General features: G+C 38.4%; 1 protein-coding gene and 1 long non-coding RNA gene across 8 annotated transcripts; one reads left to right on the forward strand and one right to left on the reverse strand.

Moving 5' to 3' along the window:
* Positions 1-220: 220 nt before the first annotated feature.
* Positions 221-15,157, reverse strand: FKBP7 (FKBP prolyl isomerase 7). Of its 7 annotated transcripts, none has more exons than NM_001135212.2 (4): positions 14,836-15,157; positions 13,619-13,770; positions 6,209-6,339; positions 221-2,488 (listed from the first exon to the last, which is right to left on the reverse strand). In NM_001135212.2, the coding sequence occupies exons 1-4, from the start codon at positions 15,054-15,056 to the stop codon at positions 2,327-2,329; spliced, it is 666 nt and encodes a 221-aa protein (NP_001128684.1). In that variant the 5' UTR covers positions 15,057-15,157; the 3' UTR covers positions 221-2,326. The 7 variants fall into 7 exon arrangements, 5 of the variants coding, with proteins under 5 accessions (NP_001128684.1, NP_851939.1, XP_011509651.1 ...); NM_181342.3 differs by having other exon boundaries at positions 6,209-6,342; XR_007076405.1 differs by lacking the exon at positions 221-2,488 and adding an exon at positions 9,586-9,699 and having other exon boundaries at positions 6,251-6,339.
* Positions 7,994-10,524, forward strand: LOC124906102 (uncharacterized). The gene is made up of 2 exons (XR_007087322.1): positions 7,994-8,081; positions 10,412-10,524. It is a non-coding gene; the product is annotated as an uncharacterized LOC124906102 (long non-coding RNA).
* Positions 15,158-16,115: the final 958 nt, after the last annotated feature.

Here is a 16,115-nt window from a genome sequence, read left to right on the forward strand (position 1 = left end):
TCCAGGCATTCCAGCCAGCAATGGCAACCCCCTTTGGGTCGCCTCCTTGTATGGGAGCTCTGTTTTCACTCTATTTCACTCTATTAAATCTTGCACCTGCAAAAAAAAAAAAAAAAAAAAATTCTAGAACTCAAAATGTAGTCACAGCACTCAATGCCACATATATGCATATGAAGGCATAAGGCAATCATGCAGATATATGAAATACTTGTACACTGTATTGTATGTAGAATGATTATAAATTTATTTTTAATTATGTAAATACAAGTTTTAGAATGAATCATCTTCCTATTCATGTGGCATTATCTGTCATTTTTTAAAAACAAGTTTAAAAGCACTTTGTATGATAATGGGACAAAAAAATTAGAATTACAAAGTTTAGATTATAGGGTGACTTCTTAATATGGATACAAAAAATTGAGACAGGTTCCAAACCAAAATAAAGAATATTGAGTTACTTAGTTTACTTCAACGGAGCAGGTTTTTTTGAGGGAAGGCGATGAAAGAGTAAATGATTAAGCATGTGAAAAAGTATTAGAAAATTGAGCATAGAAATGAAGAAATATTGGGAGGAAGGAAAAGATAGTACAGATTCTTGTTTTATAAGGTGTCAAATTATGTGCTAGCCATATGTATTATTTACTAATCTCATGGTTGTGTTACCCCTATGTATACTTTTGTTTGTTTTTGTATGTACTCATCTGAAAGCCCTCTATTTTTAAATAGAATTTTTGATAGTGTAAAGAAGTTAAAGGATGAACAATGGTTTGGAAAGAGCAAGTTTCAGAAGGTAGAAAAAACTTTACTTGTTTGGAACTCAATTATTTTGAACAGAGCTATTTACTGTCTGACCATACTTTCCTATATATGCAGTGTAGTAGTCCATTTTCACACTGCTATAAAGAACTGCCCCAGACTGGGTAATTTGTAAAGGAAAGAGGTTAAATTGACTCATGGTTCCCCATGGCTGGGGAGGCCTCAGGAAGCTTACAATCATGGTGGAAGGCGGGGAAGCAAGGACTTTCTTCACAAGGTGGCGGGTGGGAGAATGAATGCAAGAGGAACTACCAAACACTTATAAAACCATCAGATTGCATGAGAACAGCACGGGGAAAACCACCCCCATGATTCAGTTACCTCCACCTGGTCTCTCCATTGACATGTGGGGATTATGGAAATTATGGGGATTATAATTTCAAGATGAGATTTGGGTGTGGACACAAAGCCTGACCATACCATGCAGTATGCAAAATCTATGTTCCGATAGACATGTGCCCTTTCTTTGGTACCAACGTGATCTTCTACAGCATCTCTTACATACTATTCTCAAGTCATATGATATCATAACTTGACCATGACACAAAATTGCCATGGCACTGTATATCCTCCTTTGTTTGGCACATTTATCAAAATTTGACAGCATACCAATTTGTAATGATCATTCATCATTAGTGACAAGAATGATGGGAAATGAGGTGACATAAGGAAAGAGATAACTAGAGAAAGGGAACGAAAACTAAGAAATTTCATGGCATCAATTTAAAACTATCAAGACAAAAGCTTGGGGTGGCAGACATCTTATAAAGGTTTACAAGAGGGAAGAGGAGTTGCACATTTACAATAATGTCTGAAGGAATACAAAAGCCAGGCAGTACAGTCTTTATGCTTGCTATAAGAGGCAAAAAGTCTTTGGTTTGGTCAAATATTTTTAAACATTCCCCACTGGAAAATACCCAAGGCTAGAAGCTTACACCAAAAAGTTTAGAGACTGTGTTGCGTTCTTTGTGGAACAGAGATATACAACTATCTTCCTGCACATATACCAAAGGAAGACTCTTCAGTTCTAGGATTTTTATATCGTCTTCATAATGTTATAAAAATGTATAAACAAGTGAAATGCTAATTCCTGGGTCCTTAATGGATATTTTCAAAATATGAGGCACTTTAACTTTTAAACTATAAAAAAACTGGATATTAACATGCTGGTAAGGTTAAAGTTGGGAAAAGCTTGCAGTTTTTGACATACTATACATGTCCTCCTACATCCTGAAAGGGGAAAAAATGCCCACTGGGACCCAGAGGTCTGTTTCATGGTGCTACAATTCTTGTTTACAGAATAAAGCAGTAGGAAACACAGTCATACCATTCCTGCAAGTTAAGTTTGCAAAACAGCCTCACATTTATTATACCAAAATCAATGTATTGGGGAGATCAAAATATCTTCTCATAGGGGAAAAATAGCAAATACAACTTGGAGAAAAGTGACTTTGTTTTATACATAAAGTACAGTAAATAGCTAAAAAAAAAAAGTAGAAATACAAATATGCTATAGTTCATCGTGTTGGTATACATTGTATTCCTTGGGAGAAATGAAGCCATCACCATCATGGTCATTCTTCTTAAAAATATCTTCTAAAACTGCATCCTGATATGACTTGTCACGTGGCTTCTCATCTTTTTCAAATTCCCTTTGCAAGTAGAGGTTTATCTGGAAGGCCAAAATAACATTCCTTTAATTAAAAGGTATCACAGTGAATTTCCAGTAACTTTAAGGAATAGTTATAATAATGAAACTCATGTGCAAGATTACTTACAGTAAATGATACAACAGTATGAAAAGCTATTTGAGGTTTTATTTTTCTTATTCTTTGAAGCAATGTTTTGGAGAGAAACAGGTCTTCAAATTAGTTTTCCCTAAGATGATAGATGGTTAGTGGTACATACTCGAAGATTAATATTTAAACTGAATTTTGTTGAAACTAAATGCTTTCTAATAATCCATGCTGTTCCTATTATCAAAGGAAAATCACGCATGACTGCCATTAGTGAAAGAAACCCAATTGGCATTTCTATAATCTCTAAAACTAATGAATATGTTGTATAATCAATAAAACACAACCATGGGGTTTGAAATAAAATTTAGTATTTTAAGTTTTTCTATGCTTCTATAGCTCTCCTCCAAGTCTACATAACTATAATAATCTCTTTAATAATGTCAAATAAAGAATCCTGAAGTATTCACTAATTATATAAAATTTCTATATGCAAACACACATTAAAAGTATTGTCCAATATAGTAGCCACTAGCCACATGTGACTAATGAGCACTTGAAACATGGCTAGATCAAAATGAGATATGTTACTATAAATATAAAATATATAACAGATTTTGAAGACTTCAAAAAGTTATCTCATTGATAATTTTACATCGATCTCATATTGAAATGGCAATATTATAGATATATTGAGTGAAGATATAACATTAAAATTAATTTCACCTGTATCTTTTTACTTTTTAAGATGTGACTATAAAAATTTTAAAATTATATGTGTAACAATTGTATTTCCTTTGGAAAGCACTAATCCTTATAATAACTAAAGAAAGCAATGCACAATCATCTGGAGGTAATGTTCAGTAAGGCTGGCATTATAGAGGCAAGAGTATTTTTGAAAGCTAGAGTTTGAGAGGTTTTTAGCAATACATATCCCAGGGTCAACCCATTGCAAGTTGACTTTATTTTAGAGCAATCAGTGGACCTTAATGAAGGATACATCAACTGTTCTCAAATGGGACTTTGGTCCTACATGAGGCAGACACATTTTTTTCTTCCAGCCAAAGCTTAGCAATCCTATGTAGGGGTAAACAATTTTTAATACCTTCAAATATTTCTCAGTTTCTAAGTAAGTCAAATTATTTTTACATAACCAATATTGCTGATGCTTAAACTTGACTCCTTTTCCAGTAAACTACAGTACAGAGGTACAAAAAGACAGTGGGTAAGAACATGACCTTAATTTTGCTAGTAATGGGTTCCACACTATTTCCACTTTTTAATTTAATAAAATACTGTATTTCCCCCGTCCTTTCCGTCTTTATTAATATTAAAGAAAGTTTTTCTTTTTCTTTTTTAAATGTTCCTTCCTGTACACTGATGAAATAGTTTACTTAATCTTTCTGACAATGAATAAAGTTTTTTGTTTGTTTGTTTTTGTTTTTGTTTTTTTAGTTCGTGTTTCTACTTCAGGCTTTGTCTTGGATTTGCTGTGTGGTCTTCTGCAAATTAACCTCTCTGAACCTCAGTTTTGTCATCTGTAAAAGGAGATAAGTAAGTATCTATATTGTAGGATTGATATGAGGATTAGAATAATGATTATGGCCATCAATAAAAGACAGCTATTGTTATTCAAGTTAGTGAAAATCACTCTCATCCATCTGGCAATAAAGCAGCTGATATCACATAGACATCTGGGGAAATTGTAGATAAGTAGATTACTATTTTGGATTTTCTCTATTTTTATTTTCCAGAAAAGAACTTAAGATCATCTAATGTCTTACTGAGGAGTATTCATACTGCAGAACGTGGCTCTTGGTGTGCCTGTGATAATGAGTGGTCTGTGTGCATAGGCTGAGCTCTTGGGTACTATGCGAATTCATCTGCAGCTGCTATTCACTCTAAAAAAGGGTGATAAGGAGTCAATAGAGAAGTACACTTTGGGAACCATTTGCCACCCCGGTAACTGCCCTTCTTCTTAAGAACAGGACATGTTCCCTTCTCCTTCTTCCACTGTTGGCCAACCAAGATGCCTGAAGGGAAAGTCATTACTAATATCCTGGTGTAAGAAGTTGAACTGGGTGGGGAAAGGATTGGAGAGGGAGATGAAAAAGAAACAGAGAAAAAGACTTATTTTTATTACTTGAAATCAACCTAGTTAGCTTTTACTACTTACTTATGTGGTAGAGTTACACATTTTTAAATGTCTCCTAACTAGTTAAGAGGGGAGACAGCTGGTTTACTAATTTTAAGCAGGAGTATCGTCAGTGGGACTAAGTAAGACATTAGAATTCAATAAATAGTATTAGACTTGAAACATTCATGATTTTCTCTGAAAGAAGCAGTCTAGGCCCAAAGTTAAAAATATAGTAGTGGGCTGGGCATGATGGTTCACACCTGTAATCCCAGCACTTTGGGAGGCTGAAGAAGGAGAATCACTTGAGGCCAGGAGTTCAAGACTAGCCTGGGCAATGTAGTGAGACTCCATCTCTTAAAAAAAAAAAAAAAATTAGCTGGGTATGGTGGCATGCTGCGGGGATCGCTTGAGCCCAGGGGTTTAAGGGTGCAGTGAGCTATGATCACTTCACTGCACCCTGGCATGGGCAACAGAGAAAGACCCTGTCTCTAAGAAAAATTTAAAAAATTGAAATGTAAGAACAGTCATGAAGCCAGATTGCCCAGGTTTTGCCCCTTACTACTGTGTGATTTTTGGCTGATTAACCTGATTATTATTTTCCCCATCTAAAAGCGAAGATGATGACAATAGTGTCTGCCCCATAAACTATCATGAAGATTACATAAGTTCACATACTTATGTGCTTATAAATAGTACCTGGTACTAAAAGTATAAAATAAATGTTATCTATTATTATCTTTTTTTTTTTTTTGGAGGCAAGGTCTCAGTCTATCTTCCAGGCTGGAGTGCAGTGGCATGATCACAGCTCACTGCAGCCCCAACCTCCTGGGCTCAAGCGATCCTCCTACCTCTCAGCCTCCTGAGTAGCTGGGACCACAGGTATGCACCACCATGCCTGGCTAATTTATTAAATCTTTTGTAGAGACGGGGGTCTCCCTGTGTTGCCCAGGCTGGTCTTGAACTCCTGGGCTCAAGCAATCCTCCCACCTCGGCCTCTCAAAGTGTTGAGATTATAGGCATGAGCCACATGCCCAGCCCAATTATCATTATTATTACAAGATCTTTATTACAAGGCTGAGATACAGACGCTAGCTGGCTGAACTTCTGGCTCCTGTTTACCAACTTTCTAGCCCACTCAATTCAGACCCTTGCTAGCTCTTTTCATCATCCTATGAGGCGTGAATTATTTGCCCTGTTGCAAATTCTTACAGTGCTGTCTGAAAAAGAGATATGCTAGTGTAATCTAGAAACTGGAAGAGCACTGTAGAGACAAATAATTCGGGATTTTAATGACTCTCTTGCAGGGAGAAAGGCAATTGAACAGGATGACTCACAAGGTTTATACTGAAAAAGCTTAGAGCTTTTTCTAAGCGCTTAGATTATTTTTTAGTGACCAGCTCTATAAAAGCAGTGATCAGAGCCCATGCTAGCTAGACCTAAAAAGTAATAGTTGTAACACAGATGTATTTAAACTGTGATAAAAAAATTAGACTATACACATGAAATTGGTTTGAATTACCTCGGCTTTAGAGAGCTGCCTGTCATTGTCCATGTCTATTTGTTTAAATGTCTCAATGCTCCGTGGTCCTTTGGTCACAGCATAAAGTTCAATCTCAAAAATCAATGTAGCATCCGGTGGAATCTTGCCTTCTGCTAAGGGTATAAATTTTAACAGTTTAACTTATGTAAAGATATAGTTCAAATATCTATTCATGAACTGCCATAACCATATTATATTATTTCATGTTGATAAGAATTGCTATCTGAATACTCACAATTTTTAATTTTTTCTCATCTTTTATAACTTTTTTCGGCTTTTCAATAGTTTTCTTTTTTGTTTTTTTTTCTCTTTTTTTTATAAATACTTTTTTAGGAATATTTTTTCCATATGTTTCCAAACCAAGTCAATTCAAAGGACCTATGGGACCACTATTTCTTGATTAATTTAAGTAAAAATCATAAACTTTTTATTAATGCATGGATATGACCCTCTATATCTGTGGGTTCTGCATCTGTGGATTCAACCAGTCTCGGCTTGAAAATATTCATACAAAAAAAGGATAGTTGTGTCTGTAATAAACATGTACAGACTTTTGTCTTGTCATTATTCCCTAACCAATACAATATAACAATCTTTTACATAACATTTACATTGTATTAGATATTATAAGTAATCTAGAGATAATTTAAAGTACACCGGAAGATGTCCAGAGGTTATGTGCAAATGTGATGCCATTTTGTATCAGGGGCTTGAGCTTCTGTGGATTTTGGAATCCATGAGAAGGTCTTGGAACCAATCTCTAACAGGTACTGAGAGACAACTGTACTCTCCTATCATCAACACAGAAGAGAGGTGGCACAGAGAAGAAATGCATGGGCAGAAAAATTGCAAAGCATAGATGAGTCATCTTTTAGAAAGTGATTTTGTGTAGTTATTTGGAAGCATAAATAAAACATAAGTATTAATATATTTGTCTTTCAAATTTTTTATAGACATTAAAAAATAAGTGCAATGATAGAAAAATCCAGTAACAGGCTGGGCACAGTGGCTCACACGTGTAATTCTAGCACTCTGGGAGACCGAGACAGGAGGATCACTTGAGCCCAGGAGTTTGAGACCAAACTGGGCAACATAGTGAGACCCTGTCTCTATTAAAAAAAAAAAGAATTAAAATAAAAATTCAGTAACAATTTTACAAAGAAATTGTATACATTTTTAAGCAATAAGTTGAATACCTATTTTTATTTTTATTTATTTTTTTTGAGACGGCGTCTCACTCTGTTTCCCAGGCTGGAGTGCAGTGGTGCAATCTCCGCTTACTGCAGCCTCTGCCTCTTGGGTTCAAGCCATTCTCCTACCTCAGCCTCCTGAGTACCTGGGATTACAGGTGCACACCAGGCATTGCATTATTAGTAGAGATGGGGTTTCACTATGTTGGCCAGGCTAGTCTTGAACTCCTGACCTCAGGTGATCCGCTTGCCTTGGCCTCCCTAAGTGCTAGGATTACAGATGTGAGCCACTGTGCCTGGCCAGAATTGCTCTCTTTAATTAAGTTAACCTATTAGCTGATGTCACAGATTTTTTTTTTTTTTTTAGACAAGAATCTTCCTCTGTCACCCAGGCTGGAGTGCAATGGCACGATCTCGGCTCACTGTAACCTCTGCCTCCCAGGTTCAAGCAATTCTCCTGCCTCAGCCTCCCGAGCAGCTGGGATTACAGGTGCCTGCCACCAATCCTGGCTAATTTTTTATACTTTATTAATAGAGATGGGGTTTCACCATGTTGGCCAGGCTGGTCTCAAACTCCTGACCTCAAAGGATCCACCCACCTTGGCCTCCCAAAGTGCTGGGATTACAGGCGTGAGTCACCGTGCCAGGCCATGATGTCACAGGTGATTTTAATAAGTGATGGGCTATTTCAGATAAATATGTCATAAAAGTGACTTGCAAAAATGACTTGCTAAGGGGCAGCGGGTAGCTTGTGTCATCAGTATATTGCCAGTGTCCTACACAGTGCCTAATCTACTACAGGCAGTCCAATATTTGCCGAATGAATGACCCATATCATTTATTTTTAAAATGTTTGTCCTTGGAAGGAAACAGCAATTTCTTTAATAAAAAAGTGAAGCATTCTAGCTAAAGTCTTTATATAGTCTGAAGAGAAAAGAGTTTGTGAGTTATAGCCAAAAGGAGTAGCAGATTAGTAGTTTTCAAAGAGAAAACATAGAAAGATCTACCCATGCATCATATGACTAACATAAAAGTCCTAACCTAATGCACCACATATTACCTGACTTTAGAGTAGAAGAGCTAGAGATTGAGTCAATGATTGTTTTATAAAACCCATTCCTATTTTTTCCAGTTATCTCCTTATGACAGAATTATTGTCTCCTGACAATAATTCAAGGCAAACTCAAAACACAAATTCAAATTTCTTTTCTTTTCGTTTTTTTTTTTTTTTGAGACAGAATCTGTTCTGTTGCCCAGGCTGTAGTGCAGTGTCGCGATCTTGGCTCACTGCAACCTCCACCTCCCGAGTTCAAGTGATTCTTGTGTTTCAGCCTCCCAAGTAGCTGGGATTACAGGCACAAGCCACCACACCCAGCTATTTTTTGTATTTTTAGTAGATACGGGGTTTCACTATGTTGGCCAGGCTGGTCTTGAACTCCTAGCCTCAGGTGAGCCACCCACCTCGGCCTCCCAAAGTGCTAGGATTACAGCTATACGCCACTGTGCCCAGCCCAAAACTTGAATTTCTTAAGAAAAAATATTGTAGGTACATATGCAGTTTTTGAACAATTTTGCTATAAACATAGAAAATATTGGCCGGGCGCAGTGGCTTATACCACTTTTTTTTTTTAGACAAGAATCTTCCTCTGTCACCCAGGCTAGAGTGCAATGGCGCGATCTCGGCTCACTGTAACCTCTGCCTCCCAGGTTCAAGCAATTCTTATTTGGCTTATACCACTGCGCCTGGCCAGGAGGGCGAGATCAGCCTGGCTGGCCAGGAGTTCGAGACCAGCCTGGCCAACATGGCGAAACCCCATCTCTACTAAAAATACAAAAATTAGCCAGGCATGGTGGCGTGTGCCTGTAATCCCAGCTCCTCGGAGGCTGAGGCAGGAGAATAGCTTGAACCCGGGAGGCAGAGGCTGCAGTGAGCCAAGATCAATCACACCACTGCGCTCCAATCTGGGTGACAGAGCAAGACTCCATCTCAAAAAAAAAAAAAAAAAAAAGGATATATTGCCAATTACCTCTTTTTCTTGTTTTTTTTTTTTTTTTAAAAAAAACTAAAGTATAAAAATGAGGAAAATATGCATTTGCTACGGAATTACTTATATTTAGAGAAGCAGATCAAAGAAGTAGGAATTAAGGTAAAGAATATATACATACCGCATGTATTGTTATTTAAGCACTAACAAGTCACATGCATTTCAAGACATGCAGGGTTGTTCTGTGACATGAGACAAGGATATTTTGCAGAAGAAAGACTTCTTCAAGTACTACCTAAAATAAAGTTATAGCTAATGTTAGGTCTTAATAACAACTTACTTTTAAATGCTTATTTAATCAAGAGGTTGTTTGTTAAACAGTTACTTAAGGTCTACACTGCAACTTTTAAAATAATGTAATCCAAGGTATTGGATTACAATGCCTAATGTAACGCAGGCAAGGTCAGTATTAACTATGGTCCAATTAACACTTTTTTTGGGCCTCAGTTTCTTACTCTGTAAAATGAGGGTGCTGGTGGTATTACTAGTGAGATTAATCACTTTAATGTTTGTTAGAGATACCTCCAATTGAATATGAACTTGTTTCACATCAAACTTCTATATCTCTGCAGCAAGTTTCTGATTTATTAAGAGCTTAGGCAGCCTGGGTAGTCATTCATATCTAAGCATAAATTAGTTTATGAAAAAGATAAGCTAAGTGGTCCTTTGCCTGATGGCGGTGAACCCTGGATGAGCACCTGATGATGACAGATGTGTGTGCTCTAGGCAGATAGGAGAGTGGGTGCTCTAGTGGTAGGCAGAATGTGGAGGCATCTGAAGACACAACGCAAGACAGAAAGGAAAACTTTGAAAATGAGAAAGAGACTGAAAGGCAAACTCTGCCTCCAACATTTTGCCTAGAAGTGGCCTCAACTTTTGACAACATTTTTAGCACAAGTATTGCATTTGACTTAATTTATTTTCAATTTTCCTTCTCTTTCTCCTAGGTTCCTATACAAATAAAAACAGGATATATGAATTATGGTACCATGGGAGCTGTTCTGATGGGATCAAATTATTGGCAAAAAGCATTAAAAATAAAGCTGAAGTTATCTGGAAATTGTCTCTTTAGGAGTTTTAAGCCTGACTGGGTCTGACTCAAAGCACTGACACCCCCCCACCACCCGCCAATCCAGTGTGGGGCACTGATGCCCCGATTTTGCTGGAAAGAACTCTTAATGACTAAGACAACTGCCTCAAAGAAGGCATGCCACTTCCATGAAATATTTGGGAGCAATGCCAATATCTCATTGTGGAAAATTAATCTTTACTATTTCAAACCGGTGGAGTCAGCAGTGGCTCTAAATAGGGTAAGGAGGCAAAGATTCTTTCTGTATAGCCTTCAAGCAGCAACACGGAGCAAGAACCTAACTAAGGATGCAAGGTACAGCCTATCAGGCTGCCCATCCTCCTGCCTGCTTTAAAAATTTTCTTCTCTGTTCTGCTACATGCAATTTTTGTAATTTAAAATTTTAATTTTGGAAAAATTAATACATGCCTTATAAAACTTTCAAATGGTACAAAATGTTAGAGTGAAAAGAAATCTTCTCATCCTTGACCCTGAGGCCTCCTTCCCAGGAACACTTAATGTCATCAGATGACTGCATATTCTTCCAGATGTATTCTGTGTAGATACATGCATATGTGAAACTCCTCCTCTGAAATGAAAGCTCATAGAGGATTGGGAGTAGTGTCTACTTTGGTCACTGCTTTATGCCCAGTGCCTAGAACAAAGCCTGGCACTGATGCTCAATATATATCCCAAAAGTGGAATATAGTCTTGTCCACTTTTTTTTTTGAGCCAGGGTCTTGCTGTGTTGCCCAGATTGGAGTGCAGTGGCACAATCACAGCTCACCGCAGCCTCGACCTCCCAGGCTCCAGGGATCCTCCCATCTCAGCCCCCTGAGTAGTTGGGACCACAGGCGGATACCGCCACGCCTGGCTAACTTTTTAATTTTCTGTAGAGATTGTGTCTCCCTACATTGCCCAGGCTGCTTTCAGACTCCTGGGCTCAAGTGATCCTCCCACCTTAGCCTCTCAAAGTGCTGGGATTATAGGCATGAAGCCACCATGCCTGGCCTCCACTTTATTTTTAACATATTAATAAGTATAGCTCTACTTCATTCTTTTTACTGGTTACACAGTAATTCATTGTATAGATATACTATAATTTATTTAACTAATTTCCTATTGATGGATAGGCAGGTGGTTTCCAACCTTTTGCCACCCTCCCACCCAAAAATGCCTGCAGTGAATGTTCTTTTACATATACCTTTGTGCACATTCCTGGAAATGGAACTATTGGATAAGAAGGCACGTGCATTTTCACTTTTTTTTTTGAGATGGAGTCTCGCTCTGTTGCCCAGGCTGGAGTGCAGTGGCGCAATCTTGGCTCACTGCAACCTCTGCCTCCCAGGTTCGAGCGATTCTCCTGCCTCAGCCTCCCAAGTAGCTGGGATTACAGGCACACTCTACCACACCCAGCTAATTTTTGTATTTTTAGTGGAGACGGGGTTTCACCATATTGGCCAGACTGGTCTCGAACTCCTGACCTGAAGTGATCTGCCCACTTCAGCCTCCCAAAGTGCTGGAATTACAGGCATGAGCCACCACACCCGGGCCTGCATTTTCACTTTTGATAACAGTTGATAGAGAAGTTGAATGATTTCCATTCCCAGCAATAATGCTGGTTTTTCCATGCTTTTGCCAAGTTGTTTTGTGTTTGCTAATCTGATGAGTGAAATATGATGTCTCATTTTTAATTTCTCTTTATGAATAAAATTAAGTATTCTCATAGACTTAAAGGCCATTTGTAGTTTTTTGTTAGTGGGTGCTTATTTATGAATTTGGCCCATTTCTAGGGATATGTCATTTTCATTATTGGTTAGCAAGTCTTCATACATGTTACAAACATTTTTCCCGCTTATTTGCTTTACCTAGGTTTTCAGATCTTTTTGCTGTAGGATTTTTAAAATGACAAGATATTGAAAGAATAAGATCATTTCTTGCACATTTGAAGGCTTGTCCTGTATTGGGGTAATAATGACTGACAGCCCATTATATCTCAGCTGTTCCTTTTACAATGTGCCCGTCCTGTCCTTTTACTCTAAACCTACATGTTCCAGTTTCTGAGTTTTATGAATTTAACTTTGGTACTGCTTACCAAAGATCTGTGTTATAAATATTTATGTAATAATAACATATGCTGAAAACAAATAAAAATGCTTAAGGTAGAGCTTATAGAATATATATAATCATCATGAGTGTTGCCACAATGTAGAAGAAAGAACTCTGGCCAGAGATCTATATTCAAACAATGTCATATTATCCTTATAAGCAAAAAGAAGGGACTGGACTGAACTAGATAGAGCTTAAGGTCATTGGGCTTTACTGTTCTCTTTATTTCATCTATCATTTTTTATTTCACTTTTTTGTTTTTAATTGTGGTAAAATACACATAACATAAAATTTACCATCATAACAATTTTCAAGTGTGTTGTTCAGTAAAGTACGCTTACACTACCATGCAACCAATCTCCAGAACTCTTCATCTGGCAAAAATGAAACTCTATACCCATTGGTCAACAATTCCCCTTTTCCCTCTCACTTCAGCCTCTGGCAATCACCCTTCTACTTTGTCTCTATTAATTTGACTACTCCAGGTACCTCACATAAATGGAATTATACAGTATTTGTCTTTTTGTGACTGGTTTATTTCATTTAGCATAATGTCCTCAAGGCTGATACATGTTGGTGCATGTCTCAGAATTTTCTTCCTTTTTAAGGCTGAATAATATTCCATTTCATTTTTTTTTTTTTTTTTTTTGTAGAGCAGGGTCTTGCTGTTGCTCAGGCTGGTCCTGGCCTCAAGTGATTCTACCACCTTGGCCTCCCAAAGTGTTGGGATTACAGGCATGAGCCACTGTGCCTGGCTTCCATATATGCATGTATTCATTTTGTTTATCCATTTCTCTATGTATGGACATGTGGCTTGCTTCCATCTCTTGTCTATTGTACATGGCTGCTATGAGCATGGCTGTACAAATATTTCTTTGAGACTGTGCTTTCAATTCTTTCAGACCTATATACCCAGAAATCTATTAATCATTTTTTAAATATAACTAAAACAAGAAATTAAAATTAAACATCTTACCATAGCCTTCCTTTCCGTATGCAAATGAAGGGGGTATAACTACTTTTCGCTTTTCTCCAGGGCACATATCTGTCATAGCAATGTCTAGGCCTTTTATGACTTGCCCAACACCAAGAACAAACCATTTGGGGTGGCCTTCATTTTGTGTCCGGCTATAACAAAAAGCAATACTTAAGTAAACTGATTTCAAGAAATCAAACTTGAAAATACAGCTGGGCATTTAAAATTGGAGTCCTCTCTAACCATCATTCCCATATAATCACTCTTTCTAAAACCCTTAATGGGGTGTTTGACTCAAACTTCCCTATAATCACCAGAAAGAAGTATGATTTGCCCAAAGTTAATCATTAACAGCCATCTCATTTTTTAAAATTGTTATCTTTACAAAAACTATTCAACAGTTAACTTTTTAATGGGTCTCCAGCCCCTAACTAGGTGCATGGCTTGTACAAAGAACTCATTTAACTCCCTGGGTTTGTTGTAAAAAAATGATAGGGCAGTTTTAGCCTCAAAAAGTCATTTTAATAGTAATTTAAAATGGTATATTTTCTTATTAAATTCTAATGATATAATTTATTAAATTCTTATTAAATTATAAAATTGTATAAATTCTTATTAAATTTCTCTATTTTATTCTAAATGGATGGAACTGTTTTTCCCAGTCCTATCTTTACAGGGTAAAGAAAAGATTCTCCCTCTGAGTAATAAGCCATCAATTAAATCAGAGTAGGCACCAGGTGGAATGAGGGAGCAGGGCCCACCAGAAGTCACCAGGGAAGTAACTGTTTTTCTTGATAGAAAGTGGCCACAACCTATAAAAATCGTGCTTCTGAAGGCCAGAATTAAATCTCTTTATTCCATGTATTCCTCCGTAAAGACTCAATACTTCTGGCAAGGGAAAAATGTGAACATCCTTATAGGCAGAACCTTGATTTAATTCTGGAGGTCCCAAGGGTAATGGTGGTGGTTGATGTGTGTGTGGATGTATCGTATTTTTGATAATTTATTGCCACAACATTTTCAATACTTTAAATAAAAATATTCAGTTTATTAGAGAAACACTGCCATATAATGTGATTTTTTTTAATGAATAAAGGGCTCAACTTTTACCGTTAAAAAATAAAACCCCAACCAACCAACCAATGAGGCTTCCGCTTGGTGGAGGCAGGCAAGATTTTGTGCAACTGGACGCACGGGCAGCTCGCAGCATTTCCTACCTGCAGTAGAATTTCGAGCCGTCTTTAGCCAGGTAGCCGTCATAATGGGCATTTAGTAGGTCTCCCTTCTTGCTTGTCTTAGAGCAGTTTTCTGGACGATGCAAAACTTCTATTTTCACTTCTTCGGTGCTCTCCTCTTTCTTTTGTCTCTGAGCAGTAAAAAGGCCCCACAGATAAAAGAAAACAATGAATCTGAATAAGAAATGCATGGTTTTTGGCATCGGCTCCAGCAGAACACTGCTCTCCCTCCCGCGTGTCACTCGCGCCCCGTGGATGTCCCGCGGCCGAGTTCCGACGCGTGGCAGGCGTTGTCCTGCGTCACAAAGGGCCGGGGCGGGGCCATAGATGCGGCCCCGCCCTCTCATGGCCCCAACCCCTCCGCCTCCCGCAGCGGGCTCAGCGCGGTTAACGCTGTTTCTAGGCCCTCGGGCTGGCTGTCCTCAGTCTTTAAGATCGCAACGCACACTCGCTCCGCTTCTTCTCGCTAAACCCGCGTATTTTACAGCAGGTTTCCTCAGGGTTCGGTGACAACATTCGCATTTTCTAAAATGAAACTGGCATAAGACGAAATAAACAGCCTGGGATGTCGTAGAGTCAGGGAATATGGTTGTCATTTCTGGAAGCAAAAGGCTTCTAAGACCCCTAGGGAACGAGCAGATAGATACTGGGGGGAGGGAGAGGCATGCTGGAAAAGGAGCGTAAAAAATAGGCTGGCGGTGGCTTTCTGGGTGCTTCGGAGGTGTCCTTGAAGCGCATTCTCAGGTCGGAATCTTGCATTCAGAGGTTCCAGGCTGAGTCGCACAACCTGAAGGCCAGCCCGATGCAACGAAACTGCGGTACCGCAACTCCTCTGCCTGGCTGCAGGCGTTTCCGAGAGCCGACCTCCACAATTCAGCATCCTCCGCTGGCTTGCATTTCTTTTCCCCGCCACTCGGGGCCGCCCTTGATTCGAGGGCCTCTGGTAGTGCGGGGAATGTTCTTTTGACTTTTTTGTACCATCCCATGGGATACGTAATTGTCCACATCAGTCAAGAAAACTTGAGTATTGGGCATGTTGTCCCAATCTCACAGCTAATACGCAGCAGGGATTTGGTCAAATCTGTGTGACAACACCACTTCACCACCAATTTTAGTATGAAAACCTTTAAAATACACAGAAAGTTGAATTCTACAGTAAACTCTCCTACACCCACCATCTGGATCCTGTCATTGAACTATATTATATTTATTACATATCCATCCATCACTCTATCCATCCATCAATTCGCCTTGTTTCCAAG

The sequence above is a fragment of the Homo sapiens genome, chromosome 2 (genome assembly GCF_000001405.40).
Source record: "Homo sapiens chromosome 2, GRCh38.p14 Primary Assembly".
NCBI lineage: Eukaryota > Metazoa > Chordata > Mammalia > Primates > Hominidae > Homo > Homo sapiens.